The sequence below is a fragment of the Homo sapiens genome, chromosome 14 (assembly GCF_000001405.40).
Source record: "Homo sapiens chromosome 14, GRCh38.p14 Primary Assembly".
NCBI classification, from domain to species: Eukaryota; Metazoa; Chordata; class Mammalia; order Primates; family Hominidae; genus Homo; species Homo sapiens.
Window position 1 is genome coordinate 20909953 of NC_000014.9, and position 26923 is coordinate 20936875.

Sequence of the window (26923 nt, forward strand, 5' to 3'; positions counted from 1 at the left end):
GCAGGAGGCCCCACGCAAGAAGGAAGGCCTAGGGCCACCTTTCTGAGGTTCAAGAGACCAGGAAGAGCTCAGTACACCAAATATCTTTAGAACTTAGGTAAGTTAAATATTACTTCATTTGCTACAATTTAATTAACCTGCACCATATTATTATGGAAATCTTGTGTTACTTTTAAAGGCAAAAATCTCAATTACTTTTGCACCAACCTAATAAATAGTGTGCATTGTCTTTCCCATAGATAACCACTGCTGCATTAGGGAAATCTGTGTGCAGGAAGGTATTGATGGTGTGGTACCTCCCTGTCAGCAGGTTAAGAGCAAATATTGCAAGGGTACCCTGGGGCTGAAGAAATTGCAAGCATTGAACACTATATTTTTGCACATAAATGCTATGCAAAAAAGACATTGATCAATGCAGTGTACTCAACAGTGGTTTTTACCATAAATGCAGAATTCTTTGTCTGGGACAATATTTTAAAATGTTCATCAGTTTCCCAAAAAAAGACTTAATACTGGGACATAATTCCAACTATTCCTCTCAGTGGAAGTGTGGATCAGGTCTGAAAATGTGTCATTAAATTAGGCTGCAAGACAACTTATACTAATAAAATAAAGAGCCCAGGTGTGTTAAAGACAAAATCGTGGGGGCCGAATAGGAACAGCTCCGGTCTGCAGCTCCCAGCGTAAGCGACACAGAAGATGGGCGATTTCTGCATTACCATCTGAGGTACCGGGTTCATCTCACTAGGGAGTGCCAGACAGTGGGGACAGGACAGTGGGTGCAGTGCCCAGTGCGCAAGCCGAAGCAAGGCGATGCATTGCCTCACTAGGGAAGTGCAAGGGGTCAGGGAGTTCCCTTTCCTGGTCAAGGAAAGGGGTGACAGACGGCACCTGGAAAATCGGGTCACTCCCACCCAAATACTGTGCTTTTCCGAAGGGCTTAGGAAATGGCGCACCAGGAGATTATATCCTGCACACGGCTCGGAGGGTCCTACGTGCCCACAGAGTCTCGATGATTGCTAGCACAGCAGTCTGAGATCAAACTGCAAGGCAGCAGCGAGGCTGGGGCACTGGCGCCCGCCATTGCCCAGGCTTGCTTAGGTAAACAAAGCAGCCAGGAAGCTCGAACTGGGTGGAGCCCACCACAGGTCAAGGAGGCCTGCCTGCCTCTGTAGGCTCCACCTCTGGGGGCAAGGCACAGACAAACAAAAAGACAGCGGTAACCTCTGCAGACTTAAATGTCCCCGTCTGACAGCTTTGAAGAGAGCAGTGGTTCTCCCAGCACACAGCTGGAGATCTGAGAACGGGCAGACTGCCTCCTCAAGTGGGTCCCTGACTCCTGACCCCTGAGCAGCCTAACTGGGAGGCACCCCCCAGTAGGGGCAGACTGACACCTCACATGGCCGGGTACTCCTCTGAGACAAAACTTCCAGAGGAATGATCATACAGCAGCATTCGCGGTTCATGAAAATCTGCTGTTCTGCAGACACCACTGCTGATACCCAGGAAAACAGGGTCTGGAGGGGACCTCTAGCAAACTCCAACAGACCTGCAGCTGAGGGTCCTGTCTGTTAGAAGGAAAACTAACAAACAGAAAGGACATCCACACCAAAAACCCATCTGTACGTCACCATTATCAAAGACCAAAAGTAGATAAAACGAAAAAGATGGGGAAAAAACAGAGCAGAAAAACTGGAAACTCTAAAAAGCAGAGCGCCTCTCCTCCTCCAAAGGAATGCAGTTCCTCACCAGCAATGGAACAAAGCTGGACGGAGAATGACATTGACGAGTTGAGAGAAGAAGTCTTCAGATGATCAAACTACTCCGAGCTACAGGAGGAAATACAAACCAAAGGCAAAGAAGTTGAAAACTTTGAAAAAAATTTAGATGAATGTATAGCTAGAATAACCAATACAGAGAAGTGCTTAAAGGAGCTGATGGAGCTGAAAGCCAAGGCTCGAGAACTACGTGAAGAATGCAGAAGCCTCAGGAGCCGAAGCAATCAACTGGAAGAAAGGGTATCAGTGATGGAAGATGAAATGAATGAAATGAAGTGAGAAGGGAAGTTTAGAGAAAAAAGAATAAAAAGAAATGAACAAAGCCTCCAAGAAATATGGGACTATGTGAAAAGACCAAATCTACGTCTGATTGGTGTATCTGAAAGTGACGGGGAGAATGCAACCAAGTTGGAAAACACTCTGCAGGATATTATCCAGGAGAACTTCCCCAATCTAGCAAGGCAGGCCAACATTCAGATTCAGGAAATACAGAGAACACCACAAAGATACTGCTCGAGAAGAGCAACTCCAAGACACATAATTGTCAGATTCACCAAAGTTGAAATGAAGGAAAAAATGTTAAGGGCAGCTAGAGAGAAAGGTCGGGTTACCCACAAAGGGAAGCCCATCAGACTAACAGCGGATCTCTCAGCAGAAACTCTACAAGCCAGAAGAGAGTGGGGGCCAATATTCAACATTCTTAAAGAAAAAAATTTTCAACCCAGAATTTCATATCCAGCCAAACTAAACTTCATAAGTGAAGGAGAAATAAAATACTTTACGGACAAGTAAATGCTGAGAGATTTTGTCACCACCAGACCTGCCCTAAATGAGCTCCTGAAGGAAGCACTAAACATGGAAAGGCACAACCGGTACCAGCCACTGCAAAATCATGCCAAAATGTAAAGACCATCGAGACTAGGAAGAAACTACATCAACTAATGAGCAAAATTACCAGCTAACATCATAATGACAGGATCAAATTCACACATAACAATATTAACTTTAAATGTCAATGGACTAAATGCTCCAATTAAAAGATGCAGACTGGCAAATTGGATAAAGAGTCAAGACCCATCAGTGTGCTGTATTCAGGAAACCCATCTCATGTGCACACACACACATAAGCTCAAAATAAAAGGATGGAGGAAGATCTACCAAGCCAACGGAAAACAAAAAAAGGAAGGGGTTGCAATCCTAGTCTCTGATAAAACAGACTTTAAACCAACAAAGATCAAAAGAGACAAAGAAGGCCATTACATAATGGGAAAAGGATCAATTCAACAAGAAGAGCTAACTATCCTAAATATATATGCACCCAATACAGGAGCACCCAGATTCATAAAGCAAGTCCTGAGTGACCTACAAAGAGACTTAGACTCCCACACAATAATAATGGGAGACTTTAACACACCACTGTCAACACTAGACAGATCAACGAGACAGAAAGTTAACAATGATACCCAGGAATTGAACTCAGCTCTGCACCAAGTGGACCTAATAGACATCTACAGAACTCTCCACCCCAAATCAACAGAATATACATTTTTTTCAGCACCACACCACACCTATTCCAAAATTGACCACATAGTTGGAAGTAAAGCTCTCCTCAGCAAATGTAAAAGAACAGAAATTATAACAAACTGTCTCTCAGACCACAGTGCAATCAAACTAGAACTCAGGATTCAGAAATTCACTCAAAACTGCTCAACTACATGGAAACTGAACAACCTGCTCCTGAATGACTACTGGGTACATAACGAAATGAAGGCAGAAATAAAGATGTTCTTTGAAACCAATGAGAACAAAGACACAACACACCAGAATCTCTGGGACACATTCAAAGCAGTGTGTAGAGGGAAATTGATAGCACTAAATGCCCACAAGAAAAAGCAGGAAAGATCCAAAATTGACACCCTAACATCACAATTAAAAGAACTAGAAAAGCAAGAGCAAACACATTCAAAAGCTAGCAGAAGGCAAGAAATAACTAAAATCAGCAGAATTGAAGGAAATTCTGACAGAAAAAACCCTTCAAAAAATTAATGAATCCAGGAGCTGGTTTTTTGAAAGGATCAACAAAATAGATAGACCACTAGCAAGACTAATAAAGAAAAAAAAAAGAGAATCAAATAGACGCAATAAAAAATGATAAAGGGGATATCACCACCAATCCCACAGAAATACAAACTACCATCAGAGAATACTACAAACACCTCTACGCAAATAAACTAGAAAATCTAGAAGAAATGGATAAATTCCTCGACACATACACTCTCCCAAGACTAAACCAGGAAAAAGTTGAATCTCTGAATAGACCAATAACAGGTTCTGAAATTGTGGCAATAATCAATAGCTTACCAACCAAAAAGAGTCCAGGACCAGATGGATTCACAGCCGAATTCTACCAGAGGTACAAGGAGGAACTGGTACAATTCCTTCTGAAACTATTCCAATCAACAGAAAAAGAGGGAATCCTCCCTAACTCATTTTATGAGGCCAGCATCATCCTGATACCAAAGCCAGGCAGAGACACAACCAAAAAAGAGAATTTTAGACCAATATCCTTGATGAACATTGATGCAAAAATCCTCAATAAAATACTGGCAAACTGAATCCAGCAGCACATCAAAAAGCTTATCCACCATGATCAAGTGGGCTTCATCCCTGGGATGCAAGGCTGGTTCAATATACACAAATCAATAAATGTAATCCAGCATATAAACAGAACCAAAGACAAAAACCACATGATTATCTCAATAGATGCAGAAAAGGCCTTTGACAAAATTCAACAACACTTCATGCTAAAAATTCTCAATAAATTAGGTATTGATGGGACGTATCTCAAAATAATAAGAGCTATCTATGACAAACCCACAGCCAATATCATACTGAATGGGCAAAGACTGGAAGCATTCCCTTTGAACACTGGCACAAGACAGGGATGCCCTCTCTCACCACTCCTATTCAACATATTGTTGGAAGTTCTGGCCAGGGCAATTAGGCAGGAGAAGGAAATAAAGGGTATTCAATTAGGAAAAGAGGAAGTCAAATTGTCCCTGTTTGCAGACGACATGATTGTATATCTAGAAAACCCCATTGTCTCAGCCCAAAATCTCCTTAAGCTGATAAGCAACTTCAGCAAAGTCTCAGGATACAAAATCAATGTACAAAAATCACAAGCATTCTTATACACCAATAACAGACAAACAGAGAGCCAAATCATGAGTGAACTCCCATTCACAATTGCTTCAAAGAGAATAAAATACTTAGGAATCCAACTTACAAGGGACGTGAAGGACCTCTTCAAGGAGAACTACAAACTGCTGCTCAATGAAACAAAAGAGGATACAAAGAAATGGAAGAACATTCCATGCTCATGGGTAGGAAGAATCAATATCGTGAAAATGGCCATACTGCCCAAGGTAATTTATACATTCAATGCCATCCTCATCAAGCTGCCAATGACTTTCTTCACAGAATTGGAAAAAAATACTTTAAAGTTCATATGGAACCAAAAAAGAGCCCGCATCGCCAAGTCAATCCTAAGCCAAAGGAACAAAGCTGGAGGCATCATGCTACTTGACTTCAAACTATACTACAAGGCTACAGTAACAAAAACAGCATGGTACTGGTACCAAAAGAGAGATATAGATCAATGGAACAGAACAGAGCCCTCAGAAATAACACCGCATATCTACAACTATCTGATCTTTGACAAACCTGAGAAAAACAAGCAACGGGGAAAGGATTCCCTATTTAATAAATGGTGTTGGGAAAACTGGCTAGCCATATGTAGAAAGCTGAAACTGGATCCCTTCCTTACACCTTATACAAAAATTAATTCAAGATGGATTAAAGACTTAAACGTTAGACCTAAAACCATAAAAACCCTAGAAGAAAACCTAGGCATTACCATTCAGGACATAGGCATGGGCAAGGTCTTCATGTCTAAAACACCAAAAGCAATGGCAACAAAAGCCAAAATTGACAAATGGGATCTAATTAAACTCAAGAGCTTCTGCACAGCAAAAGAAACTACCATCAGAGTCAACAGGCAACCTACAAAATGGGAGAAAATTTTCGCAACCTACTCATCTGACAAAGGGCTAATATCCAGAATCTACAATGAACTCAGACAAATTTGCAAGAGAGAAACAAACAACCCCATCAAAAAGTGGGCAAAGGATATGAACAGACACTTCTCAAAAGAAGACATTTATGCAGCCAAAAGACACATGAAAAAATGCTCATCATCACTGGCCATCAGAGAAATGCAAATCAAAACCACAATGAGATACCATCTCACACCACTTAGAATGGCAATCATTAAAAAGTCAGGAAACAACAGGTGCTGGAGAGGATGTGGAGAAATAGGAACACTTTTACACTGTTGGTGGGACTGTTAACTAGTTCAACCCTTGTGGAAGTCAGGGTGGCGATTCCTCAGGGATCTAGAACTAGAAATACCATTTGACCCAGCCATCCCATTACTGGGTATATACCCAAAGGACTATAAATCATGCTGCTATAAAGACACATGCACATGTATGTTTATTGTGGCACTATTCACAATAACAAAGACTTGGAACCAACCCAAATATCCAACAATGATAGACTGGATTAAGAAAACGTGGCACATATACACCATGGAATACTATGCAGCCATAAAAAATGATGAGTTCATGTCCTTTGTAGGAACATGGATGAAATTGGAAATCATCATTCTCAGTAAACTATCGCAAGGACAAAAAACCAAACACCGCATGTTCTCACTCATAGATGGAACTGAACAATGAGAACACATGGACACAGGAAGGGGAACATCACACTCTGGGGACTGTTGTGGGGTGGGGGGATGGGGGAGGGATAGCATTAGGAGATATACCTAATGCTAAATGACGAGTTAATGGGTGCAGCACACCAGCATGGCACATGTATACATAAGTAACTAACCTGCACATTGTGCACATGTACCCTAAAACTTAAAGTATAATAATAATTTTTTAAAAAAAGACAAACGATCATGCTGAAGTTACAGAGAATTTTGTTTAATGTTGGCTTACACTTTATTTCTGCTTCATATAAAACATCTTCTCCCAAAGGTCATAAATATCAAAGTAGATCATGTGTACTAGTTCTGCAGATAAATGAAGGTAGTTAGAAATGTACACAGGAAATCTATACAAGGGAGAATCAGAAAAATCTTATGAGCATGTTCTGAATACAATTTTAGTGATCAGGAGCAGTGTCTCACACCTGTAATCCCATCACTTTGGGAGGCCAAGTGGGGCAGATCACCTGAGGTCAGGAGTTTGAGACCAGCCTCGCCAACATAGTGAAACCACATCTCTACTAACAATCTGAAAATTAGCCGGATGTTGTGGCAGATGCCTGTAATCCCAGCTACTCAGGATGCTGAGGCAGGAGAATCACTTGAACTCGGGAGGCAGAGGTGGCAGTGAGCCGAGATCGTGCCACTGTACTCCAGCCTGGGCCACAAGAGCAAGACTCCATATCAAAGACAAACAAACAAATAAAAAAAACTCGCACAATTTTAAAGGATGAATATGGTTGCAAATTGGGCAGGTTATGGTCTGAGTTATTTCTTAAGACACTGCAACAAGTCTGACGCGTCATAATCACAGATTTCTCCAGAAGCCAGGAAGGTGTCATTACTGAACAGACAGGATGTAAGTCAGGAGGCAGAGATGGAGTCAGAGAACAGCCCTGAGCTAGAGCCCCTTCCACAGAGGCAGCTTTACCCAGCTCTAATTGATACCACACAGCAACGGAGACACAGTGCACCAACCAACATCATGTGATTTTTAAAGATAAGACAGTAATGAAAACTTTTAGTGAACTATTCCAATGTCAAACTTTATCTTCCAAACCAAACATTATAAATAACACTGTATATGCTGAAAAGAAGCACTGTTTAGCCGAGTACCTGCCCTGGGGCTGCAGTCTATGTCTTTTGCCTCACACTATAGACACTTGAGTGCAAGTCTTTCTACCCAGTGTGCCTGTCAGCATCACAGAGGGGATACTCTACGTATCATTCACCTTTACATTCTCATCACCTGCAAAAATGATCTCCACACAATATACATGAAAAAAGAATTTGCTTCATGATAAAGCTGCTAATGAATGTCGGCCAGAAGAGGACTTCAAGGCAGAGTACTGTTAGCTGTGCATTGAATCCTCACCTGATGACCATTGTGTCCACATTTACCTAAGGACTCCAGTGATAAAATTATTGCATTTGTAAATGACAGGAAAATTGGATGGTATATGATATCATTTAAAGGTCTGATTTCCATTTACTAATCTAGAAGCTAGACCAGAGATTTAACATCTTTTTGTACCTAGGTCTTACCCCTGCAATTCACTTTCCACCTCTGTACAATTTTCCCACATCATCCCCTGTGCCCAGAATGCTCATCTCTTCCCTAAAGTCCCTGAAAACCACCTGCTTTGCCTTTAGGACCCTGCTGAAATGAAACTTTTTTTTTTTGAAGTCTTCCTTGTCCCTCAAGCGAAGTGATTTCCTTCACCCTCGGCGTCCCCATGAAACCATGTTCACACAAATGCTATTATCTCTATCATACTGTAATACAATTATGTGACTACAATTACTTTCCTGTATATCTCTGAGGTCCAAGAATAAGTCTATGCTTGGTGTATGAAATTGTACAGTTGACTTCTATACTTTCAGGAATACAGTGCTCTGTCCTTAAATGTTCATTTGTAAATACAGAACCATTTTCTTGTTGATATCACAAGATGAAACCTACCAGGAAGATGAATGACAACCCCAGAACACACTGTTTTGTAGAAAATACCATAGGCTGAAAAGATCACAGGAATACCGAGTGCTAGGTTGGAATCTTTCATGACACCAAATGTTCATTCATTCTCTGCCAGATTTTACAACTGTCCTCGGTGTGTTTTTAGGTTGTGTAACTTTACACAAAGTGGAAGCAATAATCAGGGCAAGACTTAAGAGAAAGTGGATCCAATGCAAGAGGAGTAAAGAAAAAAATCCCTCAAATGTATGGAGCAGATTGTTTTAATTATCTACAGAATCTTGTGCCCCAAGAAATTAATAGCTCAAGTTTCCAGCAAGAGTGGTGGATGAGATGGAGAGCATTTATGTGAGAGAGAACCAAGGATATTACTAAAAATGGAAGGGAAGCTGGGTTCCTCCTGGGAAAACAGATCTCTGTGGCTCTATTTGTTCTAACTACTATGCCTGCCTTCATGTACTTTGGTCATTTAGGGGCCTGCCAGAGGACAGTTATAAAATCTGTGGTCATTCTGCCGGCAGCATATAGTTTTCATCCAGAGTCCAGATCCCACCGGCAAAACTCTGTCTAACACAGGATGACTTGGAATTAGAGTCCGTATAGCAGAAAGAGCAGCAGGGCTGTCCTTGGGTATCCGTTGCTCAGCCAAGTCATCAAATAAAAAGGATGATTGCGCAAGTGGACCATGTGTCAATCTGTGGGTTTCTGCATGGCCAAGAGCCAGACCCTCCCTCCTGGCTCTGCTGGCCCAACCCACCAAGGGATGCTTTATTTAAATAGTTCCAAGTAGGGGAGACCAGCTGCCCCTGAACCCCAGAACAACCAGCTGGATCAATTCTCATAGGAGCCACAGCGCGGAGACTGTGTAAGTCAACAATCCCCAGAGTTGGGACAGGAGGGGCAGCGACAGGGCAGCAACTGAGGGAGAAGGGAGCTGACGTTAGTGCTTAGGAGATGTGGCACACTTTGGGGACAGGAAGGAACAGGAAATGGGACCCAAGAGTGGCAGCAGATTGGCCTGTGGGGTGAGACACTATGGTGTGTGTCACAACCGAGACAGAATCGGGGAGTAGTTACTTCTCTTCTTTTCTCACAGGAAACATGGTTCCAAAACTGTTCACTTCCCAAATTTGTCTGCTTCTTCTGTTGGGGCTTCTGGCTGTGGAGGGCTCACTCCATGTCAAACCTCCACAGTTTACCTGGGCTCAGGGGTTTGACGTCCATCAGTAGGAACCAGCTCCAATGCACCAATGCAATGCGGGTAATTAACAATTATCAACGGCGATGGAAAAACCAAAATACTTTTCTTCTTGCAACTTTTGCTAATGTAGTTAATGTTTGTGGTAACCCAACTATAACCTGCCCTCATAACAGAACTCTCAACAATTGTCATCATAGTGGAGTCCAGGTGCCTTTAATGTACTGTAACCTCACAACTCCAAGTCCACAGAATATTTCAAACTGCAGGTATGCGCAGACACCAGCAAACATGTTCTATATAGTTGCATGTGACAACAGGGATCAACGACGGGACCCTCCACAGTATCCAGTGGTTCCAGTTCACCTGGATACCATCATCTAAGCTCCTGTATCAGCACTCCTCGTCATCACTCATCTGCCAAGCTCCTCAATCATAGCCAAGATCCCATCCCTCCATGTACTCTGGGTGTCAGCATCTGTCCTCTTCAGTCTCTATACCCCTTCCACTTGCCTGAGCTGAAGTGCCTTGTGAAGCCTGCAATAAACTGCTTTGCAAATTCATCTGGAAGTGTCTGTGTGTCTTCGTCGGCCACTCTGCTGTCATTGAGTGACAATCTACTCTAGATATTTTTCCTTCCTCCAACCCGAGACTTGTGGGAAATGGAGAGATTTGAGGATAAGAGACTCTTTCTGTCATGAAGCAGCACAGACTTATCCCTCTCCCTGCTTTAGGCTGAGAAGCCGAGGTCTCAACTGATACCTACCAACTGTTGAAGACTCTTCCCTTGACCAAATTTAGTCATCTCCCCTGGCCTCTTCACAAGTAGGTCATTCTGTTGGGTTTCCTAGTCCTTCCTTGTAGAGTCAGGTTTGTATTTATATTTACATTTATATTTATATTTATATTTATATTTATTCATTTTTTGAGAGAGAGTCTCGCTCTATCACCCAGGCTGGAGTGCAGTGGCACAATCTCGGCTCATTGCAAACTGTGCCTCCCAGGTTCAAGCGATTCTCCTGCCTCAGCTTCCTCAGTAGCTGGGGTTACAGTCATGCACCACCATGCCTGGCCAATTTTTGCAATGTTAGTAGAGATGGGGTTTCACCATGTTGGCCAGGCTAGTCTTGAACTCCTGACCTCAGGCAATCCGCCTGCCTCAGCCTCCCAAAGTGCTAGGATTATAGGCGTGAGCCACCAGTGCCCAACCTAGGGTCAGGTTTAACAGAAGTCTTCCTAACCTGGTTTATCATTAATATTCACCCTCAATATCTGACCAAATTCCTTAATTCCCCCATCATCCTCCTTGTGATACCTGATTCCTGGCCTGCCTTCAAAAAAAAAGAAAATCCAGTTGAGTCGACTTAGCATTGGTCTCCCTAGCCTCGATGGTTCTTCTAGGTAATTTTGCATCCAGTGACCCCTCCCCCCACACCAACTTATAACTTCAGTATACCTCTCCACTTGTTTTAGCTGTATTCCAGAATTTTGCTCAATTTGGTGCTGAGGTCCCATTTGACACTTTATGGTCTAAGTCTGGTTTTTATTGACATGATTTCTATCCTAAGAGATATAGAGGCTGCAGGGAATAAGGTGAAAATGTACATGTTTGATTATGATTTATGAATGATAAATTTTGATAGAATTGAACATTGAGATAGAAAACACACAAAAAAAGAAAGTAGAAAAAGCCAAGAATGCTATAAATATGGTGAAACCAAGATAAAAAGTTTAGCCTCAGACCTATTTCCTTTAAATGGGCACATCAAATCTCCAGCTATTAGCAATCGTACTAGAGGTGGATCCACGGTTTGAGTCAAATATGGAATGAGATAAATTGTTCAGACAGCAATATGGACAGATTGTAATAAATATTGCCTGAAGGAGAGGTGCGCATCATTCCCAAAACTTCCATGTCCTGGAGATAGGGAGTAGCTGGTCACCTGGGAAGGGGAAGGGGAACGAGGGAGACTGGGGAGTGGGATCACTCATGAAGGTGAATTGGCTCCTGCCCGTTCTGCCCTCCACAGTTGTCCCCAAAGGTGAGTCAAAGGGTTCATTCAACACCTGTCAGGTAGGGCACAGCCTCAAGAATTAGGGATTTGTAGACCCAGAGAGAGAAGAAATGGATAATGAGAGCCCTTGCCCTGGACTCCATTACAGGGCTTCACTCAGGAATCCATGAGAAACAGGAAGGGGAAGCCCTTTCTTGCAAGCTGTGGACAGGTGCAGCATTCAAGTGATTGTGCCGGGGACAGAGTGGGTCTTTTTGAATGGCCTGACTCTTGGCCATACAACAGAGATACAATGCCATCAGATCTGCACCTTGGTCCTTCAGTCTGAGAGTTCTGACTTCTATATTTCTGCTCCTCTTCCAGACCCTCAGAAATAGCAATTTCCATTCCTCAGATGACTCCATGTCAGTAATAGTAGCTCTCATTGGCATCAGACAGCAGCAGTATTGAAGTCTCTCCTCTGGAGAAGCTATTGAGATCTTGCTTCTCCAAGGGTGTGGCAGGGCTGTGAACTTTAAAGTTTGCACAGGGACACAGATTTCACGAAATCCTGGTGCTCAATAGAATCCACTGACTCTAGGTAAAATAGGGCATATTAGGAAGTGAGTGCAGTCTTCCCACAACCTCCAAGTAGCAGAAGGAGAAGGTGGGACTCTGAAAGCTGGAGCCACGTTTCCTGTGAAGAGAGATGGAATGGACCTTCCTCACTTCAGGTACCAGATCACAGGTGTCTTCTCAGTCAGGGATGCCCCGTCTCTAAAACCATAGGATAGAGGGATCAGTCCCCACCTGCCCCCATGCCCTCTCCACCTTGTGACTTCATCTCCTCTCCTGTCATTCATCCTTCACTCATTCATTCATCCAGCAGACATCTACTGAGTAGATACCTTGCTCCAGGCACAGTTTGAGGGAGTGATGACGCAACGCAAACCAAGACAGGTCACTGCTCTTTTGGGGCCACATTATACAAGGATAAAAATAAACATACAAAATTGTTCTAAGCATACAAAATTTTGCTAAGTGTCAGGAGGAAAAATACACAGCCTAGTAAGCAGAAAACTACACAGAGCGACACAATATAGAGGTTCTGTATGTGCCTCAGAAGTGACAGAGCAAAGTGTGACCAGGAAAGACCCATTTCAGAGAATGAAATCTAAACAGGAGGAAAAGCAGCCAGTCATACAGACACCAGATGGAAAATCATCCCAGCAAAGAGAAGGAGACTTCAAAATTCCTCACAAATATCAAGGCTATAAGTAGACTTCAGTTCAGTGCTTACAATAAGTTAATTAAAACATCTGCAAGAAAATGACTACAACTATTTGCATCTTTGTATGTATTTATTCCTTAATGTAATAAAACATTTTCATTTTTAAAAAATGGTCCTGAATGAATAGAGGTTTGGCATGTTAGAAGCACAAAAGTTGTTTGGTCAGGACAAGATCATCATAGCCATGAGTATTAATGATAGGAGTTAATGAGGTTCAGACCCTTCATGCTTGTGAAGATAGAAGAATAAAGTAAGTTCCTCATGGGGCACAAATTGAGCATGTTACATGCAAGAATAACGTTGCCTAAAGATCTGTCCAGCCTCTGTGCAGAACACAACTATTTAGGAGACAAGAGTGGAAGCAAGGTCCCAGTGAAGGACCACAGGTTGAGGCAGAGGGAAACAAGAGTCTTCCAATCTCAGTGAATCTCACCATCATCCTCTCATGCTGCAGCCCCATGCTATTCCCCTCCCTGTTGCCATGGCCTCTCTCCAGCCCCTCCATGCCTTCCACATCATCTTCCTGCCATCCCCATGCTGATGACTGGGCTGAGGTCAGAGGCAGCTCCCCTCTCCCAGGACGTGAGACGATTCAAACAAGACCAAGGAGGATTCTGTGCTTGACCATCAGGAAACCCTGGCTGGACTCACTGCCCCTTCTGCAGTAGACATCCAAGATTTTCTGATTGCCCTGGACCCAAGGCCAGCACCACAGAGACTACCATTAGAGAAGTTAAGTAGTCACGTCAGCATGTTCCAAAGACGTGATCCTTGGATTCCACTTCTTTTCCTTGAACCTCCCATGTCTGATTTTATAAAATTCTCTTCATATCAAATCTTCAGGAAGTCTTGCAGGAGTAAATGCAGTTAATTGTTCTATAAGCAGGCAGGGAGGGTCTCCAGGGATTATAAGAATTTAACCAACTTGAGCAATCAGCCTGTTTTACAAGCTTGCTGGTGGGAACCAGCTCCTGGCATAACCCAGCAACTTACAGACAAATTAGGATGAACATTCCTCATTACCATGCTAAAGTCTCCACCCAAGGAGGAGCTATAGCCTCATTACCATGACATGTGAACTATGTGCTGGCAGAATCACTCACTGTGTATGGGCAACTGGGACTCCTCCTCTACAAGTGATGATACACCCTCTGCCCTCTCCATCACCACATAGAATGTTCTTCTCACTTTCCATCAGGAAGACACTGCTTTGGAGAATACTCCCAGTGGCCTTCTTACTTGAACCAAGTAACAAAACTTTTATTTATCAAAATGTACGTTCTCATAGAGAGTCTTTGTTACTCACCAGGGAAACAAGCCCTAGTTTTTTCAGCTACCAGCTCTAACACATTCTGTAAAGTCCAGCACAGAAGGAAGGTTAATTCACAATGCTATTGCTTTCACTTTTTAATAATTGGGAACATATCAGGGCAGATGTCTTTATGTAGGGTTAAATGGAAGGTCAAGGAGGCAAATCATCAACCTTGGGGAGACACACTTGCAGAGATTATGACTACACTTGGGATTCAAGAATATGAGACCCCACCAGCAGAGTAGCCTGCAATGTTCAAGGATATCCAAGTAGATCAAGTATTTTAATGAAAAAACAACAGGCTTTGTCTTTCAAGATGTCCATGAATTGACTTTCCAGAAGAGAAGGAAGAAGACCTCATTGTCAGGGCAGAAGAGAGAAGAGGAGAGGGATCTAGGCTAAATATTGTAATCGATTTTGCCTGATATTGACTTTTTGTTTGTTTCTTAGTTCATTTTATTTTATTTTATTTTATTTTTTTGCCAAGACTGGAGTGCAGTGGTGCAGTTTTGGCTCACTGCAGCCTCTGCCTCCCAGGTTCAAGCGATTCTCCTGCCTCAACCTCCAGAGCAATTTTTGTATTACTAGTAGAGACAGGGTTTCGCCATGTTGGCCAGGTTGGTCTACAAACTCCTGACCTCAGGTGATCCGCCCACCTCAGCCTCCCAAAGGGCTAGTATTATAGACATGAGCCATCGCGCCCAGCCTCTTAGTTCATTTTTAGAGATGAAGTCTCCCTATGTTGCTCAGGCTGGACTTGAAGTTCTAGACTAAAGCAATGCTCTCGCCTTAGTCTTGCCAGTTGTTGAGACTATAAATACACACCACTGAGCACAGCTGATACTCACATTTTATGAGCTGTTTCCACTCCAATTACATAAGGGAGTGAGGCAATTAGTAAGGATAGGAGCATAGAAACTCTGTCTACATCTCTATTTCAAATTACCTCTGAAAAACAGCCTTGTTTTTAAACTAAAACTTGATTTTGGTTAATAAATGTTTGTCTTAAAATGCACTTAGAATTATGACAGAGTTGTCACTTTTGTCTCAGTTCTGACCTATAGTGATTTCAAAAGAAGATCAGTAGACTACTTCAAAATTCTCATTATTCAAAGTTATTTTGGATGTAAAATTGGCTGATGTGAGATAATTTAGAATATAGGGCCAGCCAGGTTACCCAAATGAATATCTGGGAAACTGAGCACATTACATGCTTATCACACATCCCCACTGAGTTAGAAAATATGACTGTATTAGTCAGGATCATCAAGAGAAACATAAAAGATTTAGGTAGACACAGATAGATAGAAATATAGATACAGAAGGATTTATCATGAGAAACTCGCTCACGCAATTATGGAGTCTGTGAAGTTCCATAATCTGCCCTCTGCAAGCTGGCAGACCCAGGAAAGCTGGTGGGATAATTTGGTTCGAGTCCCGATGCCCAAAAACCATGGAAGCTGATGATGTAAATGTCAACCCAACTACAGGAAGATGACATAAGATGTCCTAGCTTAAGAAGTGAGGCAAGAAAAAGTGATGAATTCCGCCTTTCTCTACTTTTCAATCTATTCTGGCCGTCAACAGATTGGATGAGCCCCATCCACACTGGAAATGCAACCTACTTTACTTAATCAACCAATTCAACTGCTAGTCTTACAGAAATACCCTCAGAGACACAGCCAGAAATAATGTTAATCTGGGCACCCACAGGCCCAGGCAACTTGAAATATAAAACTCAACATCATGATGACCTATGGTTTCCCAGGTGCACCAGAAGATGTTACCAAAATGGCACCATCAGCCAGAACCCACATACATTCACCAGGTCAGTGCATCTCTCAGTTCACCAGAGATTCATTTTCTTTGTGACATCACGTTCACCTGGAGTGCAGCCAAGAATCAGGCCACAGCTAATAATGAGAAAGGAAGGATTCTTCATTTGCCTTTTTACAAATGACAGAAAAATTTGCCAAAATCCTTTGGTAATAAGTAGTTATCTCAAAGACAAAGAGACTCAAAATGAAAATGAAAAAAAGTCAGTTACCCTTCCCACTGCCCATGTTCTTCCTCCACATATAAAAATAGGTATTAAGTTCACCCTTTCTGGTGTTAAAGATTTTAGTCTAACCCAATACCTGTGAATCTCAGTGCACAGATATTACCAGATTTTTCATTACACAGAAAATGACAGAGACATTCTCCCACTACAGTTGCTATTTTGTGGTGACAACTTTTACTTTCCCACGATTCTTTCGTTAAGTGACACACACGTGCAACTGGAAGGATTTACTGTTTTCACCCACAGCTCCCACACTTCACAGCTATGCAGGAGCTTCAGTACAGCAGATCCTAGCACCCTGGATAGTACAAGCGTGACTTCTTAACCACAATGCAATAGCAAATATATGGGGTTCAGTGTCGGTCTTTCATTCAGAATATACTGTTCAGAATTGTTTAAAATAGTAAATTTAGAAACAAATAATATATCCTGCAGAACTGGTTAAAATAGGATTGTATATCTTTACAAGGGAATTTTATGCAGTATTTTTTAATGCAAAAAAAGTACGGTTAATCTCTTCCTACTGGCATGGAATATTACCGAAATATATTGTTAATGAGAAAGAAGAATGGTGTAGGCCACTGTAAGAATCTACCCAGGCTGCTATAACAAAATACCACAAATGAGTATTCCAAAACAACAGAAATTTCTTTCTCCCAGTTGAGGAAACATCAGCTCTTCTCCTCCATACTCACACTCACACTTCTGGCCACCAAATGTGGGAGGGTGCTTTCTTGCAGCAACCGATTCCAGCTGGGTATCCTAAAATTCAATTGGATTGTGACACTAACTGGAGTGAATGCAGACCCCACAGGTTAAGGGCTTGGTCCCACAAGACTGTCAGTCTCAAGTAGCAGATCATTATCTGTGCTTTTGACCAATGAACTATAGTTTGGAGGATCCCGTGACTTCCTCCTCAGTTTGATCATTTGCTAGAATGGCTCACAGAGCCCAGGGAAACACTTTACTTAGGTTTATACATCTATCATTAAGGATATACTAAAGGTACAGACAGGGAGATAATGGGGCAAGGCTTGGAAGGGTCCTAAGTGCAGGATCTTCTATCCCTGTGGAATTGGGGTGTGCCACCCTCCCAGCACAGGGATATGTTCTTGTGTACTGTATTCATTTGTTCTCACACTGCTATAAAGAACTACCTGACGCTGGGTACGGTGGCTCATGCCTGTAATCCCAGCACTTCGGGAGACCAACGTGGGCAGATCCTAAGGTCAGGAGTTTGAGCCCAGCCTTGCCAACATGGTGAAACCCTGACTCTACTAAAAATACAAAATTAGCTGGGTGTGGTGGCACAGGCCTGTAATCCCAGTTACTTAGGAGGCTGAGGGAGGAGAATCACTTGAAGCCGGGAGGCGGAGTTTGCAGTGAGCCTATAACATGCCATTTCTCTCCAGCCTGGGCAAAAAGAGTGAAACTCCATCTCAAAATAAAACAAAACAAAACAAAACAAAAAAAACTACCTGAGACTGGATAATTGATGAAGAAAGAAGTTTAATTGACTCGCAGTTCTGCAGTCTGCACAGGAAGCATGGCTGAGGGGAGCTCAGGAAACTTACAATCATCGCAGAGGGTGAAGGGAAAGCAAGCACATCTTCACATAGCAGCAGGAAAGAGTGAAGGGGGAAGTGCTATACACTTTTAAATAACCGGATCTCGTAAGAACTTACTCACTATCACGAGAACAGCAAGGGGGAAATCCGCCCCCATGATCCAATTACCTCCCACCAGGTACCTCCCCCAACATTAGTAATTACAATTTGACATGAGATTTGGGTGGGGACACAGAGCCAAACCATATCATTCACCAAATCCAGAAACTTACCAAAGTCTCTCTCTCTCCTCTTGGGGTTTATGGAGGTGTCACTACGTTGGCATGACTGATGAAATTATTCGCCACTGCTGATCAACTCAACCTTCAATCCCCCTTCCAGGGGGTTAGCTGGGGTAGCAATGGATGTTTTAACCCTCTAATCACTTGCTCAGCTCTGCTAGCAACCAGACCCCTCCTGAGACTACACAGGTGCCACTCGTCTCATTAATGTACTTCATTAGACACTTATTCAGAAATTTTAAGAGTTTTAGGGGCTCTGAGTCAGGAAACAGGCAGGAACATTAAATATATGCTATATATTTTTTTAGAGATGGGATTTCACTCGGTCACCCAGGCCGGAGTGCAGTGGTGCCATCATAGCTCACTGTACCCCCACCTCCGGGGTTCAAGGCATCCTTCTGCCTCAGTCTTCCAAGTAGCTGGGAATATAGGCTGTAGCCACCATGCCCAGAAGTTGCATTTCTCATTATAAATCACAATATCACAATCACAGCTCTGGACACTGGGAAGTTCAAGATGAAGGATCTGGCAGGTTCAGTTTGCAGTGAGGTCTCCCTTCCTGGCTTGCTGACAGTTGTTCCCCCACCACTGTGTCCTCAGATAGTGGAGGAAGAAGTAAGCTCTCTGGTGTGTCTCTTGTTTTTTTGTTTGTTTGTTTTTTGTTTTTTGTTTTGTTTTGTAGAGATGGCATCTTGCTATATTGCTGTATTAGGCTGTTCTTTCATTGCTATGAAATAATTCCTGAGATTGGGTAACTTATAAAGAAAAGAAGTTTAATTGGCTCATGGTTCTGTACGATGCTCAGGAAGTATAGCCCTGGTATCAGCTTCTAGGAAGGCCTCAGGAAGCTTATAATCGTGGCAGAAGATGAAGCGGGAACAGGCACTTCACATGGGGAAAGCAAGAGCAAGAGAGAGTTGGAAGTCGTAGGGGGAGGTATCACAACTTTTAAATGACCAGTCTCAGAAGAACTCACTCATTTTCTCCAGGACAGCACCAAGGATTTGGTGCTAAACCATTCATGAGAAGTTTGCCCCTGTATTAGTTCTTTCTCACATTGTTACAAAGAAACACCTGAAACCGGGTAATTTATAAAGAAAGGAGGTTAATCTAGCTCTCAGTTCTGCAGGCTTTACAGAAAGCATAGCAGTTCCTGCTTCTGGGGAGGCCTCAGGAAGCTTCCAATCATGGTGGAAGGCACAGGGGGAACAGGGGTCTGACATGGCAGGTGCTGGGGCAAGAGGGCAAGGGGGAATGTACCACAATTTGAACAACCAGATCTCACGAGAACTCACTCACTATCAGGAGAACAGCACCAAGGGAATGGCGCTGATTCACGAGAAATCCAGCCCCAAGATCCAATCACTTCCCACCAAGCCTGCCTCCAACACTGGGGATTATATTCCAATATCACATATGGATGGGGCAAATATCCAAACTGTCCCAGTTGCCCACAATGATCTTGAGCTCTTGGCCTCAAGCGATCTTCCTGCCTCAGGTGCCCAAAGTGCTGGGATAACAAGTGAGAGTCACCAACCCAGCTGGTGGTGTCTCTTTTTATAAGGATACTAATCCTCTTGAATCAAGGCTCCACCTTTATGATGTCATTTAACATTAAGTTTATCCTTATAGGCTCTCCCTCCAAATACAGTGAGACTGGGGGTTAGGACTACAATATATGAATTTTTAAGGGACATAATTCAGTCCACAGCAAACACTATTATTTTAGTTTTTAAATAGAGCATGTTACTGAGGGGGGACATAGAGGAATTATACGAAGAAATCTGTATAAATGAGGAAAAGTGAGTATGCTTATATGTACTACCACATATATGCTTAGATTCAGTATATATATTATAGAAAGAGTACTAAAAAACTGAATAATTATTCTTCCTGGAATACAAACCTAGCCTCGATAAACAAAGGTAAATGAAGACATCTTTTTCACTAGATACCCTTTTTTAATAATTGAGTTTACATTTTCACCATATGAATGTATATGCATTCTACATATGCATATGCACTTATGTGCATATATCTATATTCGTAAAGATGCATATATTTGTTAACCACAGACTCCCTACTATTACAACATTCAAACAAAGGAGAAGCAATCAAGTAAAACTAAAAGAACCATAATAAGGCAGCACTGGATGACCTGGAAGGCTGAGGGTCCCTGAGCCCAACACCCATCACCCTACAGCTGGGAATCAGACAGTGATGGAGCTATCCCTCACTCCATCTCCTGCTCTCTTCCTTCTCCAGTCCAGCCACCTGGTCACAGAGTGAGGCTCTAAACTGGCCCGTATTACATGTGTCTGTCCCTCCCCTTCTCACCTCGGAGGAAGAGTGTGACTATCCCAAGTCAGCAGGTAGAGTAAGACAGAGCGTGAGACCTGCTAGCTGAGGAGCTCTAAGAACCTTGTGCTTTGAAAGCCGATCTGCTTTGTGGTATTGAAATCCTCTGAGTCCATTACCTCTTTATTACAGGAAAGGTGTGTGAAAGACCCAGGACGTGTCACTACAGGACAAAAGATCTGGATGTTCAACCACAATCAAAGCTCTTGAGATCCAGCAATTTCCTTGAACAATTTTTCTACCACACACACTTCTCAAAATATAGTGCATACCCATATTTAGGATTGTGGTAGAGGGCCATTACATGATCTTGACTGTATCAATAAAAGTCTCAGGGCAAATCTCTGGGGGATTCAGTGCAGATGGCCTGCCAGTTGGATGTGGAATCTGAGCAAATTATCCTTATATTCTGCTACTCATCTCCAAATAACAGGCTTGCATCAAACGGCCATCTATCTCAGACACTTTGCAATCTATGAGTCTGCAATAAAGAATGAATGTGTCTGTGTGTGTGTGTGTGTGTGTGTGTGTGTGTGTGTGTGTGTTTTAAAGAGGCATATATGTGGTTCACTTGGTTTATGTATGTGAGTTACTTGATTGCTTATATGGGAATATTCTGAATACTTGATTAATTGAATAAACGAAATATAATTACATCATGTACAAAACTTTTCATAGTTTCATCTGCTTGATCATTATTCCTGTAAGACTCCATAGTAATATCTAATTGTATTTTTAGTGAGGAAGCTATTTTGGCCTGACCTTCAAAACTGTCTTTGCATTTGGTAGGACAAAAGACTAGCAAAAAAAAGCCTGAGGGGTTATTTTAAGTATTCTTATGAATTAGTGTTCCTCAGACTGTCTGGGTTAGCTGACTTGTGAAAAAACTAAAGGGACAGGATACTCAGTAAGTATGAATGTAACAGTTCACTCCTCAGTATTTCTGGAACAGGAAGGATTTTTCCTCATGCCCCCAACTGCCTCTAGCCAAACAGAAAAGCAAGAGGACAAAATTCTTTAAATCTTAAAAGGAAGCTATGGGTAAGCAGTGACATATAGAAACTAGCACATAGGTCATCAATTTTGTATCACTGGGATACTCATAATCAATCCCTAATGACTAATGACCAATTTTCGATAATAATAAACTATATAATCAAATATTATACACAAATTCATTGATAGTGTTTTCTGCCAGCCTGTAAGTGCCACACCTGAAAAAACTTCAAACTTTAGTGTAGTTTCCATTTGGATCACCTGGGGGAAGTTTTGCACTATGGATCCGTGGGCTCCATTCCGGATATACTCATACAGAACGTCTGCACATGGAGCTCAGGATTCTGCATTTTCAAGCATTTCCTCAAGTGGTTCTGAAACAACCTGTCTCCAGCCCAACTTTGAGATCCATTTTTTACCAAACTCTGGCTTCAGAAGCCTTCATGTACATCGGAAGTAATCTCAGTGTGGGGAAATTCCAAAGCACAGGAAGCGATGATACCATTTGCATTATTACCCAGATGATTCTAGCTACATACACCTATTATCCAGCATTTATGTCTTGATATGAGGCTTCTATTCAGTTGACCCTATTGATATCCAAGTGTACACAACTGACCTGTCAGGCTATAGCAACACTTCACTTATATGTAGGGAGAATTTGTGCAGGGCTTAGCTGAAGCTCATCATGGGGTATGAATTGACTTGGTCTTATTGCTATAACCCTTGGGTTCAGAAGACACTGAACAAATGCTTAAGAAACTGTTTTAGGTTAATGAATGGGGATATATTTAACTCCTCAGATAGCCAAAGAATCAAGAAGAAGGGATTGAGCTGGATGGCCCAATAGAAGTGTCCATTGATTGCACCCCCACACATACCAGCAGAAACACCACATTTAACAACAACTATCTACACACAAAAAAGCACCTACATAGGAAATGAAAATCAAGTCAACAATCATAGTACCTATTTTAACTTCATATCACTGAAAGAGGCACTGAAGAGGTTAGGAAAGACAATTTTGAATCACTGAGGCCACCACTCCCCCATCTCCCAACAGCCACCACATGGAGCTGAGACAGAATCTGAGTGCATGGGGGAGGGAGAGTTTAGCAATTGTGGAAATCTGCATTGAACTCAGTGCTGCCCTGTCACAGCCCATCCACAGAAGGAGCATTTAGACCACCTTAGCCAAAGGGGAATTGCCTATCCCAGCGGTCAGACACTGAGTTTGGGAAAGCTTTGCCACAGTAGGCTAAAGTGCTCTGGGGTCCTAAATATATTTGAAACTCAATCTAGGCCACAAGAACTACAACTACAAGGCAAGTCCCAGTGCTGTGCTGAGCTCAGAGCCAGTGGACCTAGACACCACTAGTGTGACACTTGTCAGGGCAGCTAAGGGAGTGCTTGCACAACCGCTCCCCCAACCCCAGGCAGCACAGCTCACAGCAATGAAAGTGACTCCTTCCTTCTGCTTGAGGAAAGGAGAGGAAAGAGTAACTAGGACTTTGTCTTACATCGTAAAGATCAGCTCAGCCACAATAGGATAGGGCACCAGTCAGAGTCATGAAGCCACCATTTCAGGCACTCGCTCCTGAAGGACATTTCTAGACACACCCTGCACCAGAAGAAAACCCACTGCCTAGAAGGAAAGGACCTAGTCCTTCCAGGATTCATCACCTGCTGACTGAAGAACCCTCAGGCCCTAAATAACCAGCAGCAATACCCAGTAGCACACTCCATGGGCCTTAGGTGAGACTCTGAGATATGCTGGCTTCAGGTGAGACCCACCATACTTACAGCTGGGGCAGTCATGAAGGGACAATTCTTCTGCTTGAGAAAAGCAGAGGGAAAAGTAAAGGGGACTCTGTCTTGCAGCTTAGATAGCAGCTCAGCTACAGCGGGGTAGAGCACCAAGCCGGCTCTTGGATCCCCAATTCCAGATCTTGGCTCTTGGCTGGCATTTCTGGACCTGCCCTGGGTCAGAGGGGAATCCACTTCCCTGAAGGGTGAGTCCCAGGCCAGGCAGCATTCACCACAAGCTGACTGCAGAGCTCCGGGGCCTTAAGGGAACATTGGCAGTAGCCTGGCAGTATTCCTCTTGAGCCTGTGTTGGAGGTAGCAGTGGGGAGAGGCTCCTCTGCCCATGGAAAGGTGAAGGAAGACTGGAAGGACTCCATCTCATGGCTTGAGTGCAAGCTCAGCCACAGTAAAACAGAACACCACGTAAACTTCCCAGGTTTTTTACTTTGGTCCCTGGCTCTCAGACAGAACCTCTGGACATGCCTGGGCCTAGAGGACCTCATGACCCTGAAGGGAAGGACACAGCCTGGCTGGTATTGCCACCTGCTCTAGGACCTTGTAGAGCTTTAGGGCCTGAGGCCCTTACTTCCAAGAAAGGAATAACTCTTTTCTAGTGAGCTGAACTGTAAAGCTCATAACACAAGTAGGTCCTCAGTGCATATTCACTTCCTTTCCTTCTTACCTGAGGTGCTGCAGTGTGAATCTGAAGGTGGCAGGTTCAACACTAAAGTGACGGACTGCAAGAAAGTTATGGTAGACTCAGAAATCTGTTCTTCAACATTTAGACTGTATTTATGCTGGCTGGATTTTCTGTTTATTCACCTATTATTCTCTACCCCTGTCAGCAACCAAGAAACTCGCAGCCCATCTCACGCTGTCTTAAAGGGAACCAAGAAGTTTTGGACTCTTGGCCTGCAGGAAGCATGCAGCGCGGCGCCCCCTGCCGGCCAATACAACGGCCACGGGAACTGGCAGACCACTGAGGCTCTGGGCGGGGCGGAGTTGCCCCTTCTCCTCCCACTTCTCTAGCAGCGGCTTCTTCTGGTGACACCCCGGGAGCCACAGGGATTTGGTTCCCTAAAGGAAGCGGTTTCCCACCAGGGTATCGTCCCTAATACCCTCCGAAGGAGTCCATTGAGGAGAAAGGAACAGAACGTCTGGCAGAATGCAGAAGGACCCTATGATCCAGGACATGTAGCGCCAGCCATCAGGAGGTTTTATGAGAGCAGCTGGTGGGAAGATCAGTCCCAGGAGAAGGGGTTTGTCTAGCAGCTTGGTTGGAGCAAGCCTTTTCCAGAGAATTATTTCCGTAATTCAGGCTCCCTCCCAACCCTCCACTGCCACCTTATCCTCCACCAAAAGCCCTGACACTGTGGCAGGGATAGGGGACGTGGGGTTGGTGGGGAACAGGCTGTAAGAAAGACGCGGGAGCCTATATGTGTCTGGGAAAAATGAGGGGTCCACGTGCAAGGGAAGAAGCATTTACAAAGAAGACTTTGACAGTGCTGCAAAGATTTGAAGGCGCAGGGTGCAAGTCATTCAGGTGCCGGTGTCAGGAGGAACCTAGCCATCCAGGTGAACAGATGCCCCCTTCTTGCAGCCCACTCGCATGGGCCTGGTGGACTCCTTCTTATTTTTGGTAGTGGCAGTGAAGAGGTCGGGTCCCTGCGCTGGCAAAGCAGTCAGTGACATTGACATCATGAGTACTGTTGCGGCAGCTGCACATGGAGGGGCTGTTGGTACAGGGCAGTGGTGGAGTTCTGCAGAAATCTGCTATGGTGGTCAGATTCTATGAATGAATGTGTGGATCTGCTCGCATTTACCCCTATAGATCAGCCAACTGCGCCTCATCATCACATCACAGTATCGGTGGTGTCCTCTAGGGACCCACGACCTGGGGTTGTCTATATGTCGTGTTAAGAAGGGCAGGGCTGGAGTGAAGACAGTTAGGTCCAAAAGGAGGAAGAGGAGGAGGGTCCATATCAGATTCATGTTTCTTGTGAAAGCATTTCAAAGAAGAGCAGAGTCAAAAGAGCAAGCCATGGTCCCTTGTCCTGTTCCTAAGAAGTCTTGGCCCAACACTTAGTGTTCGCAGTTCTCCCCTCCTGCCATTTCTACACTTATTCTTCGTGTACTCATGGCAACAAGTGTTCTCACATCCTTCTTCCACCTCCTTGTCAATAACGGAGATGGCTACCACCCTCTCAACCCTTTATGGGATTATCCTATGTACAAGGTTATTTCCAAACCCCAAAGTGATTCTTGCTCCTTACCTAAGCAGACCAGTTAAACTAAAAACTTTCATCTCTGAGGTGTTTGCATCTATCAGTTCAACTGCCACTCACCCATAGCCTTGAGATGAGGCAGGCATGATTGCCAACCCCTTTTTAGAGTGACTTAACTCAGAAGGGAATTGACAGATTCATATGACCTGCATCTTAGAAAATATTTTCACTTCCTTAAATACAAATGTCTGTTTAAACGCTGTTTTTAAAAATGAGAGCATTTCAATTTTAAGGGAGTAGAGTTTATGTTTCCCCCACATATTTCTCTGCCTCAAAATAAAGATTCCCAACTCTTCCATGTATAGAGCCTATCTTCCAGAAATGTTCTAATTCTTGGTGCTCAGGGATTCTGGGTGACTGTGTGTGAGCCTTCTGTCTCTAGCTCTAATATCTGACTCTTTTTTTAAATACCTGGGAGTTCCAGGAAAGGGTTTTCTGCAGAGCAGATGACATCCACAGAGATGGATATTTTTCTCTCAGAGGTTGATACTCCTAGTAGAAATGGAATCCCCGTTGCCTCTCTCCTTCCTCTAATCTTGTAGAAATTTCATTGTGGATATTTTCTTCCCAGAGGTTAGGGTGCAGGCCGTATGGAAAACTCTCAGGCCTGTCAATGATTTTAAACAGATTCCCAGGTAATGCTAATTTTATGCTTACTATTTCACACCTGAAATATTCACCAGCATCACACAGAGTGCCTATGACATCACTGCAAATATGCAGAAACTTGGGGTTTAGTGTCTATCATAAGCTTGCTACTGGAGCTTGGCAAATCACCTTATCCTTCTACTCCTCATCACTAAAGTGAAGATTATAGACAAAAGATCTCTTTCAGCTCTGACATTCTGTATTTTTCTATACATTACTGTGTGTTTGGGTTCATGTGTGATTTTGTATATATGCATATTGGTTTATACATGTTCAGGTTAGGAGAAATACTTAGTTTGCAAATTGAGTTTCCATTTCAGAATTGTTAATTTAATTAAGTGTAGTTTTTCCTTAAAGCAGTTATTAGCAAGGTCAAAAAAATTGAATCACTATTATGTAAAGATTACAGCATAATCTGTTTTTGTCTCCACCATTAAAGTTATACGGGTTTTTTGGTGTTTGTTTATTTGTTTTTGAGACTGAGTCTGGCTCTGTCACTCAGGCTGAAATCCAGTGGCGCAATCTTGACTCACTGGA

General features: G+C 43.1%; 1 long non-coding RNA gene and 1 pseudogene across 2 annotated transcripts in view, besides 1 other annotated feature; one reads left to right on the forward strand and one right to left on the reverse strand.

Moving 5' to 3' along the window:
* LOC100507513 (uncharacterized) overlaps positions 1 to 26871 on the reverse strand; it is a 66589-nt gene extending 39718 nt beyond the window's left edge. The window contains exon 1 of the long non-coding RNA XR_110261.4: positions 26150 to 26871. This is a non-coding gene — a long non-coding RNA (uncharacterized LOC100507513). The remainder of the gene's footprint in view (positions 1 to 26149) is intronic.
* Positions 568 to 1069: an enhancer, noted in NCBI's record as "H3K4me1 hESC enhancer chr14:21378679-21379180 (GRCh37/hg19 assembly coordinates)". NCBI's record gives its function as "activates a minimal SCP1, AML or CMV promoter by ChIP-STARR-seq in primed H9 embryonic stem cells {active_cell/tissue: H9 hESC(primed)}" and the evidence as "EXISTENCE:reporter gene assay evidence [ECO:0000049][PMID:30033119]".
* On the forward strand, positions 9389 to 10224 carry RNASE2CP (ribonuclease A family member 2C, pseudogene; annotated as a pseudogene). Its single transcript, NR_033909.1, has 2 exons — positions 9389 to 9452; positions 9684 to 10224. The product of NR_033909.1 is annotated as a ribonuclease A family member 2C, pseudogene (transcript).
* Positions 26872 to 26923: the final 52 nt, after the last annotated feature.